Below are 24,988 nucleotides of genomic sequence, written 5' to 3'. Positions count from 1 at the left end.
GGCCATTATCCTTAGCAAACTAATGTAGGAACAGAAAACAAAATACCACATGTTCTCACTTATAAGTTGAGCTAAATGATGAGAACACATGGACACATAAAGGGAAACAACAGACACTAGCACCTACTGGAAAGTGGAGAGTGGGAGAAAAGAGAGGATTAGGAAAATAACTAATGGGTATTAGGCTTAATACCTGGGTGACATAATAAACTGTACAACAAACCTCGTGACACGAGTTTACCTATATAACAAACCTGCACATGTACCCTTGAACTTAAAAGTTAAAAACAAAAAAATAACTGAGGATCCTGGGAGTTTAACTGTGTCAACACAGTGTTTCTTCTCCATTATTAACTGAAGAAAAATTGGTGCTTTTTAAAGATTTTTTTCAGATTAGAAAACAAAAATAAGTAAGAAATAGACAAATCAGAAATTTGAGGTGGATACCTAATGATTTCCCACCAAAACTTTCATAAAATTGCTTTTGTTTGATGAGATAAATGAGCAGGAACATTTACGTGGTGGAGAATGACTCTCTGGTGAAGCTTTCCTGGGCATTTTTCTTCTAAAACTTTGGCTAACTTTCTCAAAACACTCTCATAATAAACAGATGCTATTGTTCTTTGGCCCTCCAGAAAGTCGACTAGCAATATCCCCTGAGCATCCCAAAAACTGTTGCTGTGACATTTGCATTACACAGGCCCACTTTAGCTTTGACTGCACCACTTCTGCCTCTTCATAATCATTGCTTTGATTGTGTTTTGTCTTTAAGATCATGCTGGTAAAGCCCTGTTTCATCTCCTGTTACAATTCTGTAAAGAAATGCTTCAGGATCTTGATCCCACTTGTTACCATTTCCTTTGAAATTTCTGAAGAAATAAGAATTTATTTTTGTTGTTTTACAAATATTTTCTAGCTTAGTAGTGTATACTTCAACTTTATCTCAGATGTATTTTGTCTGATATAAGTATAGCAACTCCCGCTCTTTTTTTGGTTTCCATTTGCTTGGAATATCTTTTTCCATCCCTTTATTTTCAGTGTATGTGTGTCTTTACCTGAAGTGTGTTTCTTGAAGGCAACTGATTAATGGGTCTTGTTTTTTAACCCATTCAGCTACTCCATATCTTCAGATTGGAGATTTTAGTCTATTTACATTCAGTGTTATTACTGATAAGTAAGGACTTACTCCTGCCATTTTATTTGTTTTCTGGGTGTTTTGTGGTGTTCTCTTCTCTTTCTTGCCTTCCTATCTTCCTTTAGTGAAAGTGATTTTCTCTGGTAGTATAATTTAGTTTCTTGCTTTTTATTTTTTGTGTGTCCATTGTGTTTTTGGTTTGAGGTTACTGTGAAGCTTGCAAATACAATCTTACAACCCTGTATTTTGACCTGATAAGAACTTAACATTGTTTGTATAAACAAACAAACAAAAATAAGACAAATAAAAATTCTGAGACTTAACTTTGTCCTCCCACTTTTAAACCTTTTGTTGTTTCCATTTATATTTTATTGTATTGTCTATGTCTTGCAAACTTGTTGCAGTTGTTCTTTTTTATTGGTTCATCACTTACTCTTTCCAGTTAGGATAAGAGTAGTTGGCCAGGCACGGTGGCTTACGCCTGTAATCCCAGCACTTTGGGAGGCCGAGGAGGGTAGATCACGAGGTCAGGAGATCGAGACCATCCTGGCTAACACGGTGAAATCCTGTCTCTACTAAAAAAAAAAAAAAAACAAAAAATTAGCCAGGCATGGTGGCGGGTGCCTGTAGTCCCAGCTACTCAGGAGGCTGAGGCAGGAGAATGGCATGAACCCGGGAGGCGGAGCGTGCAGTGAGCCGAGCTCGCACCACGGCACTCCAGCCTGGGCAACAGAGTGAGACGCCATCTCAAAAAAAAAAAAAAAAGAAAAGAGTAGTTTACATGCCACAGTTACAGTATTATAATATTCTGTATTTTTCTGTTTACTTACCAGTGAGTTTTATACCTTCAGGTAATTAGTTATTGCTCATTAACATTCTATTCTTTCTGATTGAAATATTTCCATTAGCATTTCTTGTAGAAAATAAACTGTGATTATATACATATATACACACACACATATATACATATACATATATGTATAAATTTATATGTATATATACATATATGTACATGTATATCTACATATAAATATATATGTATATATAAAAATATACATATATACAACATGTATATATAAAAATATACATATATACAACATGTATATATGTATATGTGTATATATATACACATATACATATATACTCTCTTTATATATATATATGATGGAATAGTACTCAGCCATGAAAAGGAATTAATTAATGGCATTCACAGCAACCTGGGTGAGATTGGAGACTATTCTAAATGAAGTAATTCAGGAATGAAAACCAAACATTGTATGTTCTCACTCATAAGTGAGAGCTAAGCTGTGAGGATGCAAAGGCATAAGAATGACACAATGGACTTTGGGGACTCAGTGGGAAAGGGTGGGAAAAGGGTGAGGGATAAAAGACTATGAATTGTGTGCAGTGAATACTGCTCGGAGGATGGGTGTACCAAAACCTCACAAATCACCACTAAAGATCTTACTCATGTAACCAAACACCACCTGTTCCCCAATAACTTACGGAAATAAAAAATTTTTAAAAAGTAGAAAGTTACCGTAACTTAATTAAAAAGTTCAGTAGATGGCCTCAACAGCAGAATTGCAGGGGCAGAAGATAGCATTAGTAAACAGGAAGATAAGAAAGTAGATATTACCTTATCTGAAGAAAAAAGAGAAAACAGACCCATTTGTTTTGGCCAATTTATCCCATCTGGAATGGCTGTATTTACCCAATGCCTGTAGCCCCATTGTATCTAGGAAGTAACTAACTTGTTTTGATTTTACAGGCTCACAGGCAGAAAGAACTTGCCTTGTCTCAGATAAGACTTTGGACTAAGGACTTCTGAGTTAATGCTGAAATGATTTAAGACTTTGGGGGACTGTTGGGAACACATAATTTGTTTTGAAATGTGAGGACATGAGATTTGGAAGAGGCCAGGGGCAGAATGATATGGTTTGGCTGTGTCTCCACCAAAATCTCATCTTGAATTCCCATGTGTTGTGGGAGGGACCCAGTAGGAGGTGATTGAATCATGAGGGCAGGACTTTCCCATGCTGTTCTCATGATAGGGAATAAGTCTCATGAGATCTGATGGTTTTATAAGGAGGAGTTTCCCTACACAAGCTCTCTCTCTTTACCTCCCACCATCCACTTAAGATGTGACTTGCTCCTCCTTGCCTTCTGCCATGATTGTGAGGCCTCCCCAGCCATGTGGAACTGTAAGTCCATTAAACATCTTTCTCTTGTAAATTGCCCAGTCTCAGGTATGTCTTTATCAGCAGCATGAAAATAAACTAATACAAGTACCATGTTGTTTTGGTGACTATGGCCTTATAGTATAGTTTGAAGTCAGGTCATGTGATGCCTCCAGCTTTCTTCTTTTTGCTTAGTCTTGCTTTACCTATGCAGGCTCTTATTTGGTTTCATATGAACTTTATGATTGTTTTCTCTGGTTCTGCGAAGAATGATGGTGATATTTTGATGGGAATTGCATTGATTGTGTAGATTGCTTTTCACAGTATGCTCATTTTCACATTATTGATTCTACCCATCCATGAGCATGGGATGTGTTTCCATTTGTTTGTGTTGCCTATTATTTCTTTCAGCAGTGTTTTGTAATTTTCCTTGTAGAGGTCTTTTGCCTCCTTTGTTATGTAAATTCCTTTTTTTTTTTTTTTGCAGCTATTGTAAAAGGGGTTGAGTTCTTTATTTGATTCTCAGCTTGGTTGCCGTTGGGGTATAGAAGAGTTACTGATTTGTGTACATCAATTTTGTATCCAGAAACTTTGCTGAATTGTTTTTTATCAGTTCTAGGAGCCTTCTGGAGGAGTCTTTAGGGTTCTCTAGGTATACAATCATATCATCAGCAAACAGTGACAGTTTGATTTCCTCTTTACCGATTTGGATGCCCTTTATTTCTTTCTCTTGTCTGATTGCTCTGGCTAGGACTTCCAGTACTATGTTGAAGAGGAATGGTGAGAGTGGGCATCCTTATCTTGCTCCAGTTCTCAGAGGGAATGCTTTCAACTTTTTCCCATTCAGTATTATGTTGGCTGTGGGTTTGTCATACATGGCTTTTATTATATTGAGGTATGTCCCTTGTATGCTGATTTTGATGAGAGTTTTAATCATAATGGAATGCTGGATTTTGTTGAAAGCTTTTTCTGCATCTATTGAGATGATCATGTGATGTTTGTTTTTAATTTTGTTTATGTGATGTATCACATTTATTACCTTGTGTATGTTAAGCCATCCCTGAATCCCTGCTATGAAACCCACTTGATCATGGTGGATTCTCTTTTTGATATGTTGTTGGATTCAGTTAGCTAGTATTTTGTTAAGGGTTTTTGCGTTTACGTTGGGATATTGGTCTATAGTTTTCTTTTTTAGTTATGTCCTTTCCTGGTGTTGGTCTTAGGGTGATCCTGGCCACATAGAATGATTTAGGAATGATCCCACAGGTTCATGTAGATCTGTTCTAGTTTTTTTCAGTTTATTTTCTCTTTGTTCTTCAGATAAGGTAATATCTGCTGTTCTATTTTTCTATTTACTAATGCTATCTTCTGTTCCCTCTCTTCTGCTGTTGAGGCCATCTACTGAACTTTTTAATTAAGTCATGATAACTTTCATCCCTAAAATCTCCATTTGATTCCTTTATATATGTTCTAATTATTTCCAAGACTATCTGTTTTTTTTTTCCCTGAGGCTTTCCATTATTTTGTTTCAAGCATGTTTGACATTTTTCATTGAAGTATATTTATGACAGCTTATTTAAAATTTTTGTGAAATAATTTTAACCTGTCAACATCTTGAGGTTGATATGAATTGATTGTATTTCACTCAGTTTGAGATCATTCTGGTTTTGATATGATGACTAATTTTTTATTGAAACATGCATATTTTTGTATTATGTTATGAAACACTGGGTGTTATTTAAATCTTCTACTTTAGCTGTTTTTCTTTGACGTGGTTCTGGCTGGAGATGTGATGTTGCCTTGTTACTACCAGGTTAAAGTAGGAGTCCATGTTCTCCAGTCAACATCTGTTGATCCTTGAAGGGTGTCCTCATTACTGCTGGATAAGGATGCAAGTTCTAACTCCCCACGTGGTCTTTGATGACACCACTTTGGGGGTGATTTTATTATTTCTGGGTGAGGGTGAACGTACTGACTCTCCACCAGGCCTCCTCTGATAGCACCACAGCTGGGAGTGGGAGGAAAACCTAATTACTGCCAGGTTGTGGTAGAAGTCCAAACTCTTCATTTGGTCTCCAGTGACACCATTGGTATCAAAGGTCAGAGAGACAGTAAATACCTCTTGGCTGTTAAATCTACTTAAAAAACTTTTCCACAATGCAGAGGTATAAGAATATGGGTGTAGTTCCTGAGTAAAATTTCATGCTCTCCCAGTGTTCTTAGCATTTTCATAGATTTTGTTGAATAAAGCTTGTTTATTTTAAACCTTCTGGTCAATCTTCAGAGACTTTGGGTGACTGTATTTGCTAATTTTTACTTTAATAGATGTCGTTTCATGGAATTTTTTGAGCTCTTCACATTGCCATTCCAAAAGTTAGGTTTCCTTGATTGCCTTATAACATTTGTTTGAATCACATTTAATGAACATTTTCTAGACTTTGCCTCCTCGTAGTTTAGAGATTAAGTTCAATGAATTTCCATAATACCAGTAAAAGCCAGAAAATATTTTTTCAAGTGTTTTTATTAAGATAAAATTTCCACAACACAAATTTACCATTTAAATAACTTAAAGTGTACAATTCAGTGTTTTTAATATATTTACAATAATGTGCAACCATTATATACATTCAAAATATTGTCCCACCATTATCACTATCTAATAACAGAACATTTTCATCACCATAAAAAGAAACCCTATACCTGGTAGTAGTCAATTCCAATTCTCTCCTCTCTCTAACCCCTGGCAAACACTAACAACTTTCTATCTCCATGGTTCTGCTCAGTCTGAATACTTTATATAAATGGAATCATAGTCTATGGTCTTTTTTGTCTAGCTTATTTTACTTAGCATAATGTTTTGAAGAGTTATCTTATGTTGTAGCATGTTGATCAGTGCTTCATTTCATTTTATGGCTGAATAGTATTCCATTGTGTAGATATGCCATATTTTGTTTATCAACTCATTAGTGGATGGACATTTGGGTTGTTTCTACTTTGGGGCTATTATAAATAATGATGCAAAAAAGTTTGTGCACATATATTTATTTGAACATATGTTTTCAATTTTCTTGGGTACTTAGCCAAAAGTGAGATTACTGGGTCATATGGTCACTATATGTTTAAAATTTTGAGAAACTGCTAAACTGGTTTCCATAGCAGCTGAATCATTTTACATTACCAATATACAAGAATTCCAATTTTTCTACATCCTTACCAACGCTTGTAATTTTCTAAATTGTTAAGTTACAGACAACCAAATAGGCGTGACATGGTACCTGATTGTGGTTTTGACCTACATTTTCCTAATGACTAGTGATATTGAGTATCTTTTCATGTGCTTTTTGGCCATTTATGAATCTTTTTTTAGCAAAATGTCTCTTCTACCTCTATGTTCATTTTTTATTTGATTTATTTGTGTTTTGTTATCAGGTTGTAAAACTTTTAAAATATATTTTGGATGCTAGGCCCTTTTCAAATATGATTTGCAAATGTTTTCTCCTATTTTGTGAATTATCTTTTCATTTCCCTGATAGTCTGCTTTGATACACAAATGTCTGTAATTTTTATTAAGTCTAATATATCTTTTTTTTCTTCTGTTGTTTGTGCTTTTGGGGTCATATTTAAGAAACCATTGCCTAATTCAAGGTAACAAATATTTTTACCTATAATTTCTTTCTAAAGATTTTATAGTTTTAGCCATTTTATTTAGGTCTATAATCCATTTTGAGCTAATTTTTGTACATGTTGTGAGGTAATGATCCAACATTATTCTTTAGCATGTGAATATGCAGTTTTCCCAGAATCATTTGTTGAAAAGCCTATTCTTTGCCCATTGAAGGAGCTTGGCACCCTTGTCAAATACTAATTGACCATAGGTATATGGGTTTATTTCTGAATTCTCAATTCCATTCCAATGATCTAAATCTCTACTCTTGGCCAGGCATGGTGGCTCACACCTGTAATCTCAGCACTTTAGGAGGCTGAGGTGGGTGGATCACTTGAAGTCAGGGGTTTGAGACCAGCCTTGCCAACATGGCAAAACACTGTCTTTACTAAAAACACAAAAATCAGCCTGGCATCATGGCACACACCTGTAATCCCTTCTACTCAGGAGGCTGAAGCAGAAGAATCACTTGAACCTGGAAGGCAGAGGTTTCAGTGAGCTGAGATTGTGCCACTGCACTCCAGCCTAGGTGACAGAGCAAGACTCTGTCTCAAAAATAAATAAATAAATAAATAAATGTCTATTCTTATAGCAATACCACAGTATTTAGTGCTGTAGCTGTGAGTCCTCCAATTTTGTTCTTTCTCAAGATTGTTTTGGCTATTCAGGGGTCCTGCCATTTCTATGTGAATTTTAGGATCAGCCCATTTGTTTCTGCAAAAGAAGCAATTAGAATTTTTAAGAGCGATTTTATTTAATCTGTATATCAATTTTGCCATTTTAGCAATATTGACTCTTTCGATCCATGAACATTAGTTGTCTCTCCATTTATATTGTTCTTTAATTCCTTTCAATAATGTTTTGTAATGGTCAGTGTACACATCTCACATCTCCTTGTTTAAATTTATTTTTAAGTATTTTATTCTTTTTGATGCTATTGTAAATAGAATTGTTTTCTTCATTTCACTTTTGGGTTGTTCATTGTTAATGTATAGAAATACAACACATTTTGCATATTGATCTTGGATTCTGAAACTTTGCTGAACTCATTTATTAATGCTATAGTGCTTTGTGTGTTGGGGGATAATTTTAATGATTCTCTCTATATAAGATTATGTCATGCTTGAATGGGGATAATTTTACTTCTTCCTTTCCAATCTGTAAGCCTTTTATATCTTTTTTCTTACCTAATTGCCAAAAGCTATGTTTTTAAAATATACTTTAAATGTCCAGTTTGGTTTAAATAATTTTGAAACTAATTATATTTTATAATAATGCAGGGGGGACATTTTCTCCTAATTTTGTTGAAATACTGTTTTTCTCTGGCTAAATTGTACATCTATATGTTATACCTTAAATTAAGAACTATGTAACTGAGACTATTTAAAACAGCTTATTTTTAATGTTTCTTCCAAGTGGTAGGTATTAAACTGTATTAAAATGATTATCTAAAAAAATTAAGGTTACTTTTGCCATTTTGATTTAAAGGGTAATATTATCACACAAATAGAAACTTGAAAATTACTGATCCAACTTCTCTGCTTGAGGCAAGACATTGGTGAAGATCTCTGATCTTTAGTTTTGTGACTGAATGAGAAACCCTAATTGCCCATTTCATATGAATAAGAAACTTCAGCACTTCCAGATGCAGTTTAGCAAAAAAGAAAAGAGAAAAAAAAAGAATAAATTCCTCTTTGTGAGACAAGGTTAAGTGGATTAGGATTCTTTCCAACTTATTTTCTCTAAAGTAATTGTTTTCAATATGATAGTCCAGAAGGGGCTTTCTTGTTGGCAACAAACCATCTTCCTGACAAAGTAAAGTTTAATTTTTGTTTAGTAAGTGTAGCAAGTTTATTTTCTTAGATATAAAATTAATAGAGCAATGAATATCCAAATAAGCTAAATTGCAACATTTGCATATGAATACTTTCTTTGAGACACTTTATCAAGACCTCTGTTGAAATTATCAATTGTCAGATTATAAAAATTTCAATTCCAAGTTTGTTCATTGAGTCAAAAAATTCATTACTTGGAAAGTTTTGAAATAGCGATTTTATACCAAGTTTGTAATTACTGGGAAGGAATTGCTGTTTCCTAAGCCAGAAATGAAGTTTCAACAGCACTGTAATATTGAATATGTTCATTGTATACAAAGGCACCTTCATTGTGTCTTAAGAGAGCTCATAAGTTCTTAATATGTTATTCTTGGAAATGTATTTACTGAGCTGTACTATTCTCACAAAATATTCAATTAACATAAATTCAACAATGATTATAATGTGCTTACCATTCATTTCTTATGAGCTATGATACAGTCAGTAATATATTTTTATTATTAATAGCATGTAGATCACAATAAAGGAGAAACCTGTGCCTATGTAAATAAATATATATATGTGAATGTAGCAGGGTCTTATTTGAAGTTGGTAATTTATTATTCATTGATGTTCAAAATAGTAAATTTAAATAATTACTTAGAAAGATGATATTTTAAGGACACATTACTGAACACATAATCTTTTACTTGCTGTCTTAAGCATCATGTATAATTAAATCTCCAATATTGAACAGAATTAGTGAAAAATATTGCAAAATATGAAAAATATTCTTACATAACATTAAGTTCTTAAACAAACCAAAGACACAAGTCCGAAGAAAAAACATTACCACTACAGGTTTATCTTATATTTCTAATATATATTATAATTTAAAACTACGTAAAGTACACATTAAATTTTTCTTCTGTGACCATTCTTGTTCATTTATAGTATTGAAAAATTTCTTAATAATATACTTTAAAGATATATCAAAACTAGAAGTTTGATTTAGAAATAAGCAAGCAGGTTTGGATTCACCTGTTCCAACAAAGTGGAACTTAGATTGAAAATGTTTCAGAACTTCATTTAATAGAACTCAGAAAAGTTTACAAAATATATTCCTGAAATAAGTCAATCCAAAATTCAATTATTAGATTTAAAATATTCTCCTGAAACTTACAATCTCATTAAGAGGAAAAAAATCTTTTGACAATAGGTATACTAAAAACTCAATATGATGGCCTTCAAACTAATTTCACACTATTTTAATGAGTTAGAACTAAAGAAAAATGAATGCTAATTAAAAAAATAATTTTGCTTCTTTGCTTAGGAATGATTTTCTCCAATGGGTTGAAATAACTCCATCTAAATTTCAAGGTGTAAAAACCAGAGAACTTGGATTAATGCCCAGGAACAAGGGTCACCTCTAGTGCTTGAGTTTATGAGGACTATGTTTATAGTTCCACAGAGAAACATGTTATAAGAAAAAAAGATATTTTGGAAAAGGAGAAAGATTCTGCTTTCAAGATAACACTTCATCTATAAATCACAAATTTTCTGTTATGAATTCAAAAATGACATTTAATACTTTATATATGTAAATTGCAGAGATCAATGAGCAAACACAAGGGTAGGTGACTCTAATAATGAACAGAGACCTTAATTTAAATGAATACATGTTTTTGTTTAATCTCTGCTAAATTCTGCTTTCATCCTGACTTAATCCTTTAATCAACAGCCATTAAACTATTATACTTGGCATTCAAAGCTTTTTATGATGTTATCATTCTAACTACTCAACCTTAACTTTTTCTACTCCTCAGCATACACTATTTTCTCTTATTAGGCCACTAAAATACCAGGATTGGCACTGCCTCTGCCACTGTCTTCATTTAGAGGGTTTATCTTGCTCAAATCCTATTCATCTTTCAAATTCTAGTTCATGACTCACTTCTTCTATGAAACTTTTCTTAATTATTCCATTCCTCATTGAGTTCATTTTTTGAATTCTAGTAGCACTTAGTGTGTAGTATATAGTTCAGTCTTTTTACATAAGGACTTACATTGGGATAATGATTTTATGTATATTTAATGAATGTTAACTGACTATGCCTCTGAAATGCCTGGCACTGTGCTAGGCACTCAAGATAGAAAAGTGCACAAGATATGACCCCTTTCCTCAAGAAGCCCACAATGTCTACCCAGGGAAGGCAGGCAGACACTCAAAATGTGAGAAGTAATATTAAAGGGCTATAAGCAATGTACTGTGACAACATAAAGGAACAATCAGTTAATTCTGCCTTACAGAAAAATGTAAGGCATGACAGAGGTATTATAGAAGATTAAACATGAGCAGCTAGGCTTACATGAATATGTAAGTTTTCTGAGTTAGTAAGAGGGGAAAAGGTATTGTAGGATTTCTACTTCTAAGTATGACTTACCAGATGCACCCATCTTCTACCTTGTGCAAAAAACATCTGTAAAACACAAATATTCTGGAATTTGCAAGTAGTCCAGTGCAACAGAGCAGCACTTTCCAAATTGTGTTCCATGAGAAAGTCTTATGCAAGAGGTTAAAAGACTGTCTTCAAAAATTGTTTTCATATGGCAGGAGGCAGAGCAAGATAGAAGCTTTCACCAATGGTCCTCCCCATAGAAACATGAAATTGAAAAAATGTTCACACAAAAAAGCACCTTCATAAGAACCAAAAAATCAGGTAAGCACTCACAGTACCTGGTTTTTAACTTCATATCACTGAAATCAGACTAAAGAGGATCAGAAAGACAGTTTTAAATTATGGACACCACCCCTCCCTCATCACCCAGCAATGGTCATGTGTCACGGAGAAAGATTCTGTGCACTTGGTGGAGGGAGAGCTCAGTGATTGTGGGACTTTGCATTGAAACTCAGTTCTGCCATGTCACAGAGGAAAGAAACACTGGGCAGAACTCGGCCAACACCCATAGAAGGAGCACTTCGACTAGCCCTAGCCAGAGGGGAATCATCCATCCTAGCAGTCAGAACCTCATTTCCTGAAAGCCTCACCACCACAGGCTAAAGGGTTCTGGGGTCTGAAATAAACTTGAAAGGCAGTCTAGGCCACAAGCACTGCAATCCTTGGGCAATTCCTATTGCTTTGCTGGGCTTGGAGCAAGTGGACTGGATGGGAATGCAATCTAGTAAGACACCAGCTGGGGTAGCCAAGGGAGTGCTTGTGCTACCCCTCTCCCAACCCCAAGGGGCCCAGCTTGCAACTCTGGGAGAGACTCCATCCCTCTGCTTGAGGAGAGGAGAGGTAAAGGTAACGAGGACTTTGTCTTGCATCTTGTGTACCAGCTCAGCAACAGTAGCATAGGGCACAAGGCAGGGTTCTGAGGCTTCCATTCTAAGACCTAGATCCCAGACATTTCTAGATACTCCCTAAGCCACAAGGGAACCTACTGCCTTGAAGTGAAGGATCCAATCCTGGCACAATTCATCACCTGCTGACTAAAAAACCTTTAGGCCCTAAATAATCAGCAGGGATACCCAGGCCGTACTCCACCTTGGGCATTTAGTGAGACTCAGAGGTGTACTGGATTCAAATGTGACCCAGCACATTCTTAGCTGTGGTGGCTATGGGAAGAGACTCATGCTTTAGAAAAAAGAAAGGGAAAAGTAAGGAGATATGGTCCTGCAGCTTAGGTACCAGCTCAGCTACAGTCAGGTAGAACATCAAGTAGGCTCTGGGGTCCCTGATTCTAGGCCTTGCCTCTTGCATGGCATTTCTGGACATTTCCTGAGCCAGAGGAGAGCCCACTTTCCTGAAGCATGAGTCTCAGGCCTGGCAACATTTACCACAAACTGACTGAAGAGCCTTTGGGTCTTGAGTGAAAATCAACGGTAGCCAGGCAGTACTCACTGTGGACCTAAAGTGATTGTGACTAAAGGAAGAGACTCTTCTGCTTGTGGAAAGAGAAGGGAAGATGGGGGGAGGACTTTGTTTTGTGCCCTGGGTGCCAGCTCAGTGGCAATAGAACAGAGCACCAGGTAGATTCTTAAGGTTTCCATCTCCAGGCCCTGGCTCCCGGATAACATCTCTAGATCCACCTGGGGTTTGCAGGGAACTCACTATCCTGAAGGGAAGGACACAAATCTGAGTGGCTTTGTGACCCACTGATTGTAGAGCAGTGGGGCTTACATAGGTGGTAGCCAGGCAGTAGTTACAGCAGGTCTTGTGAAAAACCCACTACTATACTGGCTTCAGGTCTGACCTACTGTAGTCTAAGTGGTGGTGGCTACAGGGCTGCTTGTGTCACCCCTCCACCAGTTCCAGGCAGCCCAGCACACAGAGAGAAGCTCTGTTAAGGAAAATGTAAAGAAAGAGAACAAAAGTCTCCACCTGGTAATCCAGAGAATTCTTCTGGGACTTATTCAAGACCACCAAGGAGTTACCTCTACAAGTCTATAACAGACACAGCATTACTGAGCTTATTGTTACCCCTAATGCAAATACAGCTGCAAAGACCAAAAACTTAGATTAAAACACTCCAGTCCCTTCTAATACCTGGGAAGCCTTCCCAAGAAGGATGGGTACAAACAAGTCCAGGCTGCAAAGACTACAATATAGACTTAACTCTTCAATGCCCAGATACCTACAAACATCCACAAGCATCAAGATGATCCAATAAAACATGACCTCACTAAATTAACTAAGTAAGGTACCAAGGATCAATCCTGTAAAAACAGAGATAGGTGATCTTCAACAGAAAACTCAAAATAGCTGTGTTGAGAAAATTCAACATAATTCAAGGTAACACAGAGAAGAAATTCAGAAACTTATTTTATTTTATTTATTTATCTTGAGACAGAGTCTCTCTCTGTTGCCCAGGCTGGAGTGCAGTGGCACAATCTCTGTTCGCTGCAACCTCCACCTCCCGGGCTCAAGCAATTCTCCTGCTTCAGCCTCCTGAGTAGCTGAGATTACAGGTGTGCACCACCATGGCCAGCTAATTTTTGTATTTTTAGTGGAGATGAGGTTTCACCATGTTGGCCAGGCTGGTCTCAATCTTCTGGCCTCAAGTGCTCTGCCCACCTTGGCCTCCCAAAATGCTGGGATTTTAAGCATGAGCCACCATGCCCAGTCAAAATCAGAAAATTATCAGATAAATTTAACAAAGAGATTAAAATAATTAAAAAGAATCAAGGAGAAATTCTGCAGCTGAAAAATGCAAATGACATACTAAAGAATGTGTCAAAGTCTCTTAATAATAGAATTGATCAAACAGAAGAAAGAATTAGTGAGCTTGAAGGACAGCCTATTTGAATAAACACTCAGAGGAAGCAAAATTTAAAAAAATAATAAAGCATGCCTACATGATTTAGAATATAGCCATAAAAGGGGAAATCTGATGTACTGGCCTTAAAAAGTAGGTAGAAAAAGAAATATGGGTAAACATTTTATTGAAAGGGATTATAACAGAGAACATCCCATACCTAGAGAAAGATATCAATATTCAAGTTCAAGAAAGTTATAGAACACCAAGGAGATTTAACCCAAGGAAGACTACCACAAGACATTTAATAATCAAACTGCCAAAGGTCAAGAATTAAAAAAGGATCCTAAAAGCAGCAAGAGAAAAGAAACAAACAACATACAATGTAGCTCCAATACATCTGGCAGCAGACATCTCAGTTGAAAGTTTACAGGCTAGGAGACAGTGATATGACATATTTAAAGTGCTGAAGGACAAATCTTTCATCCTAGAATTGTATAACCAGCAAAATTATCCTTCCAGCATCAAGGAGAAATAAAGACTTTTCCAGACAAACAAAACCTAAGGGATTTCCCTAACATCAGATCTGTCCTGCAAGAAATGCTAAAGGGAGTTTTTTAATCTAAAAAGAAAGAATGATAATGGGCAATAAGTAATCACCTGAAGATACAAAACTCACTGGTAACAGTACATACAAAGAAAATCACAAAATATTATAGCACTGTAATTGTGATATAGAAACTACTCATATCTTCTGTAGAAGGACTAAAAGATGAACCTATCAAAAATAAGAACTACAACAATTTTTAAAGACATAGAACAATAAGATATAAATGGAAACAACAATAAGTTAAAATTGGGGGGATTAAGGTGTAGAGGTTTTATTAATTTCCTCTTTGGTTGTTTGTTTGTTTGTTTATGCAATTAGTGTTAAGTTGTCATTAGTTTAAAATAACGTGTTATAAGATGTTATTTGCAAATCTCATGGTAACTTCAAATCAAAAAATCCAAACCAGGCACATAAAAAATAAAAAGAAAGAAATTAAAACATACTAAAGAGAAAATCACTTTCACTAAAAAGAAGACAGGAAGGAAGGAAAGAAAGTAGAGGAGACAACAAAACAACCAGAAAACAAAGAATAACAAAATGGCAGGAGTAAGTCCTTACTTATCAATAATAATGCTGAATGTAAATGGACTAAATAGACAGAGTGGCTGAATGAATAAAAAATAAAGACCCAAAGATCTGTTGCCTACAAGAAACACACTTCACTTATGAAGACATACATAGACAGAAAATAAAGAAATAGAAAAAGATATTCCATGGAAACCAAAAAAAGAAAAGCAGCAGTAGCTATACTTATATCAGACACCATAGATTTCAAAATAAATAAATAAATAAAGAGACAAAGAAGAGAATTATATAATGATAAGGGCATCATTTCAGCAAGAGGATATAATAATTGTGTATATATATATCTACATATATATATATACACACACACACACATATGGTGACACTGGAGCACCCTGATATATAAGGCAAATATTATTAGAGCTAAACAGAAAGACAGACCCTAATACAATAATAGCTGGAGATTTCAACACCTCACTTTCAGCATTGAACAGACAATCCACACAGGAAATCAACTAACATTTGACTTAATCTATCAGCCAAATGGAACTAACAGATATTTACAACATATTTAATCCAATGGCTACAGAATATGCAAACTTCTCCTCGGCACATGGATCATTGTCAAGGATAGACCATACACTAGGCAACAAAACAAGTTTTAAGTCATTCAAAAAAAATAAATAATCAAGTATTTGCTCTGGCCAAAGTAGGATAAGACTAGAGGTCAATAACAAACACATGGAGGCCAGGCATGGTGGCTCCACACCTGTAATCCTAGCACTTTGGGAGGCCAAGGCAGGAGAATTGCCTGAGCTCAGTAATTCAAGACCAGCCTGGGCAAAATGGCAAAACCCCGTGTCTACAAAAAATACAAACATAAGCAGGGCGTGGTGGTGCACACCTGTAGTCCCAACTAATTAGGGGGCTGAGGAAGAAGTATCACTTTAACCTGGGAGGTTGAAGTTGCAGTGAGTTGAGATCATGCCAACATACTCCAGCATGAGTGATAAAGTGAGACCCTGTTTCAAAAAAAAAAAAAAAAAAAAAAAAATGGAAATTAAACAATATGCTCCTGAATGACCAGTAAGTCAATAAAGGAATTAAAAATAAATTTGAAAATTTCTTGAAACAAATCATAATGGAAACACAACTTACCAAAGTCTATAGGATACAGCAAAAGAACCACTAAAAGAGAAGTTTATAGCCATAAGTTCCAACACTATAAAAGTAGTAAACCTTCAGATAAATAACCTAACAATGCACCTAAAAGAATTACAAAAGGAAGAGCAAACTAACCCAAAATTGGTAGATAAAAATAAATAAAGATGAGAAAAAAATAAATGAAATTAAAGCAAAGAAAACAATATAAAAGATCAATGAAATGAAAAGTTTTTTTTGAAAAGATAAACAAAATTGGCAAACATTTAGCCAGACTAAGAAAAAAAGAGAGAAGACCCAAATAAATAAAATCAGAAATGAAAAGGGAGCCATTACAACTCATAGCACAGATATTCAAAGGATCATTAGTGACTACTATGAGCAACTATATGTCATAAATTGAAAAATCTAGAGGAAATGGATAAATTTTTAGATACATAGAACCTACCAAAATTGAAAGATGAAGAAATCTAAAACCTAAAAGGATAAATAATAAGTAATAAAATCAAAGCCATGATAAAAAGCCTCCCAGTAAAGAAAAGCCCAGGATGCAATAGCTTCACTGCTGAATTTTATCAAACATTTAAAGAACAACCAATACCAATCTTACTCAAACTATTCTAATAAATAGAAGAGAGAATACTTCCAAACTCATTCTACAAGGCCAGTATTATCCTGATACCAAAACAAGAAAAAGACACATCAAAATAAAAAAAAAACTAAAGTATCTCTGATAAATATTGATGCAAAAATCCTCAACAAAATATCACTATACCAAATTAAACAAACATTAAAAAGATCATTCATCATGACCAAATGGGACTTATCCCTGGGATGCAAGGGCGATTCAACATATAGAGATCAATCAATGTGATGTATCATATAAACAGAATGAGGAATAAAAACATTATGATCATTTCTTTCTTTCTTTCTTTTTTTTAGTAAGACAGAGTTTCTCTCTTGTTGCCCAGGCTGGAGTGCAATGGTGCAATCTCGGCTCACTGCAACCTCCACCTCCCGGGTTCAAGTGATTCTCCTGCCTCAGCCTCCAGAGTAGCTGGGATTACAGGCATGCACCACCACACCCAGCTAATTTTTGTATTTTTAGTAGAGACGGGGTTTTGCCATGTTGGCCAGGCTGGTCTCGAACTCCTGACCTCAGGTGATCCACCTGCCTCAGCCTCCCAAAGTGCTGGGATTACAGTTGTGAGCCACCATGCCCAGCTCCTTATGATCATTTAAATTGATTCTGAGAAAGCATGTGATCAAATTCAACATCTCTCCATAATAAAAACCCTAAAGAAAAACTTGGTATAGAAGAAAAATACCTGAGCATAATTAAAGTCATATGTGACAGACCCACTGCTAGTGTCATACTGAATGGCAAAAACTAAACTCCTTTTCTCTAACATTTGGAAGACAACGAGCACAACGAGCATTCCCACTTTCACCACTGTTATTCAACATAGTACAGGAAGTCCTAGCTAGAGCAATCAGACAAAAGAAAGAAATAAAGTATATCCAAATTGAAAAGGAAGTCAAATTTTCCTTGTTTGCAGATGACAAGACCTTATATTTGGGAAAAAACTAAAGACTCCACCAAAAAACAATTCGAACTGATGAACAAATCCAGTGAAGTTACAGAATACAAAATCAACATACAAAAACCGGTAGCATTTCTATATGCCAACAGGGAAGAATCAGAAAAATAAATTAAAAAACTAATCTCGAGTCGGGGGAGGGGGGAGGGATAGCATTACGAGATATACCTAATGTTAAATGAAGAGTTAATGGGTCCAGCACACCAACATGGCACATGTATACATATGTAACAAGCCTGCACGTTGTGCACATGTACCCTAAAACTTAAAGTATAATTTTAAAAAAAACTAATCTCATTTACAGTAAACAAAAAGAAAATTAATTACCTGGGGACTAATTAAAGAAATGAAAGGTCTATACAATGAAAACTATAAAACACTGATGAAAGAAATTGAAGGAGAAACAAAAAATGAAAATATATTTCATGTTCCTAAATTGGAAGAATCAACATTGTTAAAATGTCCATATTACCCAAAGCAATCTACACATTTAATGTAATCTCTATCAAAATACCATTGATATTCTTCACAGAAATAAAAAAAAATCCTAAAATTTATGTGGCATCACAAAAGATTCAGAATAGCCAAAGCTATCATAAGAAAAATGAACAAAACTGAAGGAACCATATTAACTGACTTCAAATTATACTACAGAGTTATTGTAACTAAAACAGCATGGTACTGGCATAAAAACAGATGCATAGACCAATGGGACAGAATAGAGAACCCAAGAACAAATCCACACACCTACAGTGAACTCATTTTTGGCAGAGGTGCCAAGAATCTACAGAGGGGAAAAGAGAGTCTCTTCAATAAATGATGCTGGGAAAAATGGATATCCACATGCAGGCAAATTAAACTAGACACCTATCTCTTGCCATATACAAAAATCAAATCAAGATGGATTAAAGACTTAAATCTAAGATCTTAAGCTACAAAACTACTATAAAAAAGTATTGGAAAAACTCTCCAGGGCATTGGACTGGGCAAAGACTTCTTGAGTAATACCCCACGAGTACAGACAACCAAAGCAAAAATGAACAAATGGGATCATGTTAATTTAAAACTCTTCTGCACAGAAAGAAAAAGTGAAGAGAAAACCCACAGAATGGGAGAAAACATTTGCAAACAACCCATGTGACAAAGGATTAAAAACCAGAATATATAAGAAGTTTAAACAACTCTGTAAGAAAAAAATATAATAATTAAATCAAAAAATAGATGAAAGATCTGAATAGACATTTTTCAAAAGAAGACATACAAGTAGCAAACAGGCATATGAAAAGGTACTGAACATCATTGATCAGTAGATAAATGCAAATCAAAACTACGGTGAGTTATCTCACCCCAGTTAAGATGGTTTATATCCAAAAGAAAGACAATAACAAATGCTGGCGAGGATGTGGAGAAAAGGGCATCCTTATACATGGTTGGTGGGAATGTAAACTAGTACAACAACTATGGAGAACAGTTTGGAGGTTCCTTAAAACACTAAAAATAGACCTACTATAGGATCCAGCAATTCCACTACTAGGTATGTACCCAAAAGCAAGAAAATCACTATATCAAGGAAATATCTGTCTTCCAATGTGTGTTGCAGCACTGTTCACAATAGCCAAGATTTGGATGCAATCTGAGCATCCATAAACAGATAAATGGGTAAAGAAAATGTGCTTAAACCTGACAGAAATATGACAAAAAAGAAACTTCAGGCCAATATCATTGATAAACATCGATGCAAAAATCTTCAACAGAATACTTGCAAATCGAATCCAACAGCACATCAAAAAGCTAATCCATCATGATCAAGTAGGCTTCATCCCTGGGATGCAAGGTTGGTTCAATATGCACAAATCAATAAACGTTATTCATCACGTAAATAGAACTAAAGACAAAAATCACATGATAATAGATGCAGAAAAGGCTTTTGATAAAATTCAACATCCCTTCATGTTAAAACCTCTCAATAAACTAGGTATTGAAGGAACATACCACAAAATAATAAGAGCCATATATGACAAACCCACAGCCAATATCATACTAGATGGGCAAAGCTGGAAACATTTCCCTTGAAAACCAGTACAAGACAAGGATGCCCTCTCTCACCACTCCTATTCAACATAGTATTGGAAGTCTGGCCAGGGCAATCAGGCAAGAGAAAGAAATAAAGGTATTCAAATAGGAAGAGCGGAAGTCAAACTGTCTTTTTTTGCAGATGACATGATCCCATATCTAGAAAACCCCATTGTCTCAGGTCAAAAGCTTCTTAAGTTGATAAGCAACTTCAGCAATGTTTCAGGATACAAAATTAATGTGTAAAAATTGCTAGCATTCCTATGCACCCACAACAGTCAAACCAAGAGCTAAATCAGCAATGCAATGCCATTCACAATTGCCACAAAAAGAATAAAATACCTATGAATACAGTTAACAAGGGAAGTGAAGGATCTCAACAAGGAGATCTACAAACCACTGTTCGAGGAAATCAGAGGTGACACAAACAAATGGAAAAACATTCCATGCTCATGGCTAGGAAGAATCAGTATTGTTAAAATGACCATAATATACTGCCCAAAGCAATTTATAAATTCAATGCTATTCCCATTAAACTACCATTGACACTCTTCACAGAACTAGAGAAAACTATTTTAAAACTCATGTCGAACCAAAAAAGAGCCCAAATAACCAAAACAATCCTAAGCAGAAAGAACAAAGCTGGAGGCATCATTCTACCTGATTATACTACAGAGCTACAGTAACCAAAACAGCATGGTATTGGTACAAGAATAGACACGTAGACCAATGGAACAGAACAGAGAACCCAGAAATAAGACCACACACCTGCAACAATCTAATCTGCAACAAGCCTGACAAAAATAAGCAATTGGGAAAGGATTCTCTATTTCATAGATGGTGCTGGGAGAACAGGCTAGCTTTATGCAGAAGATTGAAACTGGACTCGTTCCTTACACCATATACAAAAATTAACTCAAGATGGAATAAAGACTTAAATGTAAAGCCTCAAACTATAAAAACCCTAGAAGAAAACCTAGGCAATACCATTTAGAACATAGGCTCAGGCAAAGATTTCATGATGAAGCTGCCAAAAGCAAATGTAACAAAAGCAAACTTTGACAAATGGGATTTAATTAAACTAAAGAGTGTCTACACAGCAAAAGAAACTATCAACAGAGTAAACAGACAACCTACAGAATGGGAGAAAATTTTTGCAATCTATGCACCTGACAAAGGTCTAATATCCAGTATCTATAAGGAACTTAACACATTTACAAGAAAAAAACAAACAACCCCAATAAAAAGTAGGCAAAGGACATAAACATACACTTTTCAAAAGAAGATATACATGCAGCTGAAAAGCATATGAAACATGCATAACATCACTGATTATTAGAGAAATGCAAATCAAAACCACAATGAGACACCATCTCATACCAGTCAGAATGGGTATTATTAAAAAGTCAAAAAATATTAATAACAGATGCAGGTGAGGTAGTGGAGAAAAAGAAATGCTTATACACTGTTGGCAAGAGTGTAAATTGTTTCAGTCATTGTGGAAAACAGTGTGGGGATTTCTCAAAGACCTAAAGACAGAAATACCATTTGACCCAGCAATCCCATTACTAGGTATATACCCAAAGGAATAGAAATCATTTTATTACAAAGATACATGCATCTGTGTGTTCATTGTAGCACTATTCACAATAGCAAAATCATAGAATCAACCTAAATGCCCATCAATGATAGACTGGATAAAGAAAATGTGGTACATAGACACCATGGAATACTATGCAGCCATTAAAAAAATGAGATCATGTCTTTTGTAGGAACATGGATGAAGCTGAAGGCCATTATCCTTAGCAAACTAACTTAGGAAAAGAAAAACAAATACCACATGTTCTCATGTAAGTAGGAGGTAAATCATGAGAGCACATGGACACATAGAGAGGAACAATGCACACTGTGGCCTACTGGAGGGCAGAGAGTGGGAGGAGGGAGAGGATTAGAAAATATCACTAATGGATGCAAGGCTTAACACCTGGGTGATGAAATAATCCGTACAACAAACCTCCAAGACACACATTTACCTATGTAACAAACCTGCACATCCTGCACATGTACCCCTGAACTTAAAATAAATGTTAAAAAGGAAAAGAGAAACACACACACACAGAATGAATACCTACTATTCGATAGCACAATAGGATGACTATAGTCAATAATAACTTAATTGCACATGTTAAAATAACTTAAAGAGTGTAATTGGGTTGTTTGTAATACAAACGACAATGCTTGAGGTGATGGATGCCCCCATTCCCCATGATGTGCTTATTTCACATTGCATGCCTGTATCAAAACTTCTCATGTACCCCACTTTTTTAAAAAAAGAAAATGTGGTACTTATGGAGTACTATTAAGCCATAAAAAATAATTAGATCTTGTCATTTGCAACAAGATGCATGGAACTGGATGTCATTATGTGAAGTGAAATAAGCCAGGCACAGAAAGACAAACTTCATATATTCTTACTTATTTGTGGGAGCTAAAAATTAAAACAAGTGAACTCATGGAGATAGAGAGTAGAATGATGGTTAAGAGGCTGGGTATTTACTTGGAGGCTGGGATAAAATTGAGGATGGTTAATGGGTACAAATAAAATAGAAAGAATGAATAAGATCTAGGATTTGATAGCACAACAAGGTGACTGTAGTCAATAATAATTTAACTGTACATTTTAATATAACTAAAAGAGTATAATTGTATTGTTGTAACACAAAGGGTAAACATTTGAGGTGATAGATATGCCATTCATCCTGAAGTGATTATTACACAGTGTATGCCTGTATCAAAATATCTCATGTACCCCATAAATATACACACCTATTATGTACCCATGAAAATTAAAAATTAAAAATACATTCGTGATCAAATAAATTTTGAAACAATTGATTAATGGTAAATAGACCTCTTGCCTGAAGGATTTTTTAAGAGTGTTTAACATACTATTAGATTCGCATACATTTCTTTTTTTTTTTTTTTTTTTTTGAGACGAAGTCTCGCTCTGTGGCCCAGGCGGGAGTGCAGTGGCGCAATCTCGGCTCACTGCAAGCTCCGCCTCCCGGGTTCACGCCATTCTCCTGCCTCAGCCTCCCGAGTAGCTGGGACTACAGGCGCCCGCCATCACGCCCGGCTAATTTTTTTGTATTTTTAGTAGAGACGGGGTTTCACCGTGTTAGCCAGGATGGTCTCGATCTCCTGACCTCGTGATCCGCCCGCCTCGGCCTCCCAAAGTGCTGGGATTACAAGCGTGAGCCACCGCGCCCGGCCAGATTCGCATACATTTCTAAGAAGGAAATATAGTGTGCAGTAGTTTCCAAACTTATATGACCATGGAAACTTTTTTTTATCAGAGCTAATGACAGAGCTTTATCAGAGCTAAGGTTCTACAGAAAACACTTCAGAAAAAATGAGACTACAATATAATTTGCATTGTGGGAGAAGTGGTGAATTATGTATCTAGAAACAAATATTTGTGTCAGATTTTTTAAAGGATCTTTAATAACTTTGCAAAGATATTAGATTTGGGTTTTTTTCTATAGGAAATAAAGAAACATCAAATATTTTACATAAGAGAGTTGTACAATCAGACCTATGAAAAAATAAATCAGACAGCAAAATAAAGGAGAGATTCAAGGGGCATTGTCTGGAACCAAGGAAATTAGTGGAGATGTCACTGCAGTGGGAAATAAAATGAGGGTCTGTACTAGATTAATGGTAATTAGAGAAATGTTAATATTGTCTCAACTGAATGTTGATTTATTTGATAGCTAAAACTATGTTAAATTTTACATTTCTTACAAACCTTTCTCCCAAATATAGGCTCTAGCACAATACTGAGGATGTCAAAAGTGTAAATTTTTGTAAGTATATGTTTATTAAATATCTTCTTACAAGTGACTGAGTGATACAACTGTGGGCTTCTGAGGAACATTAGGCAGAAAAGAAATTATTCTTTGAATCAAGACCTCTAAGTATAAAATTCATTATCCAGGCGAGTATTCAAAGACCATTTTAGGATCCAGCCTCCAAGCTAGCCCCAGTGACCCCCACCTTCTAGTATTCGCACTCTTAAATGGTCCCTAATTGTACTAGGGTTTGTCTGGATGATCAACAGAATATAGTCAAAATAATTACAGCACTTCTGAGATTCAGTTATAAAATTTATCATGGGGATGATGGTTGAAAATTTATCTGTTGGGTACAATGTTCACTATTTGGGTGATGGGCACACTAAAAACCCAGACTTCACCATTACATAATATGTGCATGTAAAAAATCTGCACTTGTACCCCCAAATAAAAATTTAAAAATCTAAAAATAAATAAATTCATAGTTTTCAGTACAAAAAAATGCTTACTAAGATAATTTTTTAAAAAAAATCTATCTTGATGACTCATACCCTTTCTCTCTTGGATCACGCACTCTGGGGGAAGCCAGCTGGCATGTCATGAGAGCTCTATGGAGAGGCCCACATGGTAGGAAACTGAAGACTCAGCCAATAGCCATGTGAGTAAGCTTGAAGTGGATCCATGCAAACAGTGAGCACAAGAAGCCTAGAGTACCTATACTAATATCCAACCAAATACATTTTAAAACAAAATACATTACCAAAGATGAAAATATTATTACCATAATTAAAAGGTAAATTCAATGGGACATAACAATCATAAGTGTGTATTCATCCAATAACAAAGCTTCCAAATGTATGAAGCAAAACTGACAAAATTAAAGGGTAAACAGGTAATTCCTCAATCATACTGGGGATTTTAACACTATGTTCTCAGAAATTGATAGAACAAGCAGAAAAAAAAATCAGCAAAAACCTTAGATCTGAACAAAACTATCAACCACTTCAATTTAATTGATATTTAAATAATACACATGGAAATGGCAGAATACACATTTTTTTCAGTGCATATGGTACTTTTTGTACTTATATAGTTAACTAATATTGCCAAAT

The 24,988-nt window shown here is 35.4% G+C and overlaps 1 long non-coding RNA gene across 1 annotated transcript in view; it reads right to left on the bottom strand.

The window, feature by feature from the left end:
- The window catches only part of LOC101928437 (uncharacterized), a 477,888-nt gene that overhangs the window by 436,259 nt on the left and 16,641 nt on the right, over positions 1 to 24,988 (bottom strand). Inside the window, exon 2 of the long non-coding RNA NR_110399.2 lies at positions 11,238 to 11,273. This is a non-coding gene — a long non-coding RNA (uncharacterized LOC101928437). The remainder of the gene's footprint in view (positions 1 to 11,237; positions 11,274 to 24,988) is intronic.

This window comes from Homo sapiens, chromosome X (assembly GCF_000001405.40).
Source record: "Homo sapiens chromosome X, GRCh38.p14 Primary Assembly".
NCBI lineage: Eukaryota > Metazoa > Chordata > Mammalia > Primates > Hominidae > Homo > Homo sapiens.
The sequence above is the reverse complement of the archived record's forward strand: the minus strand, read 5'-3'. Positions and strand labels throughout refer to the sequence as shown.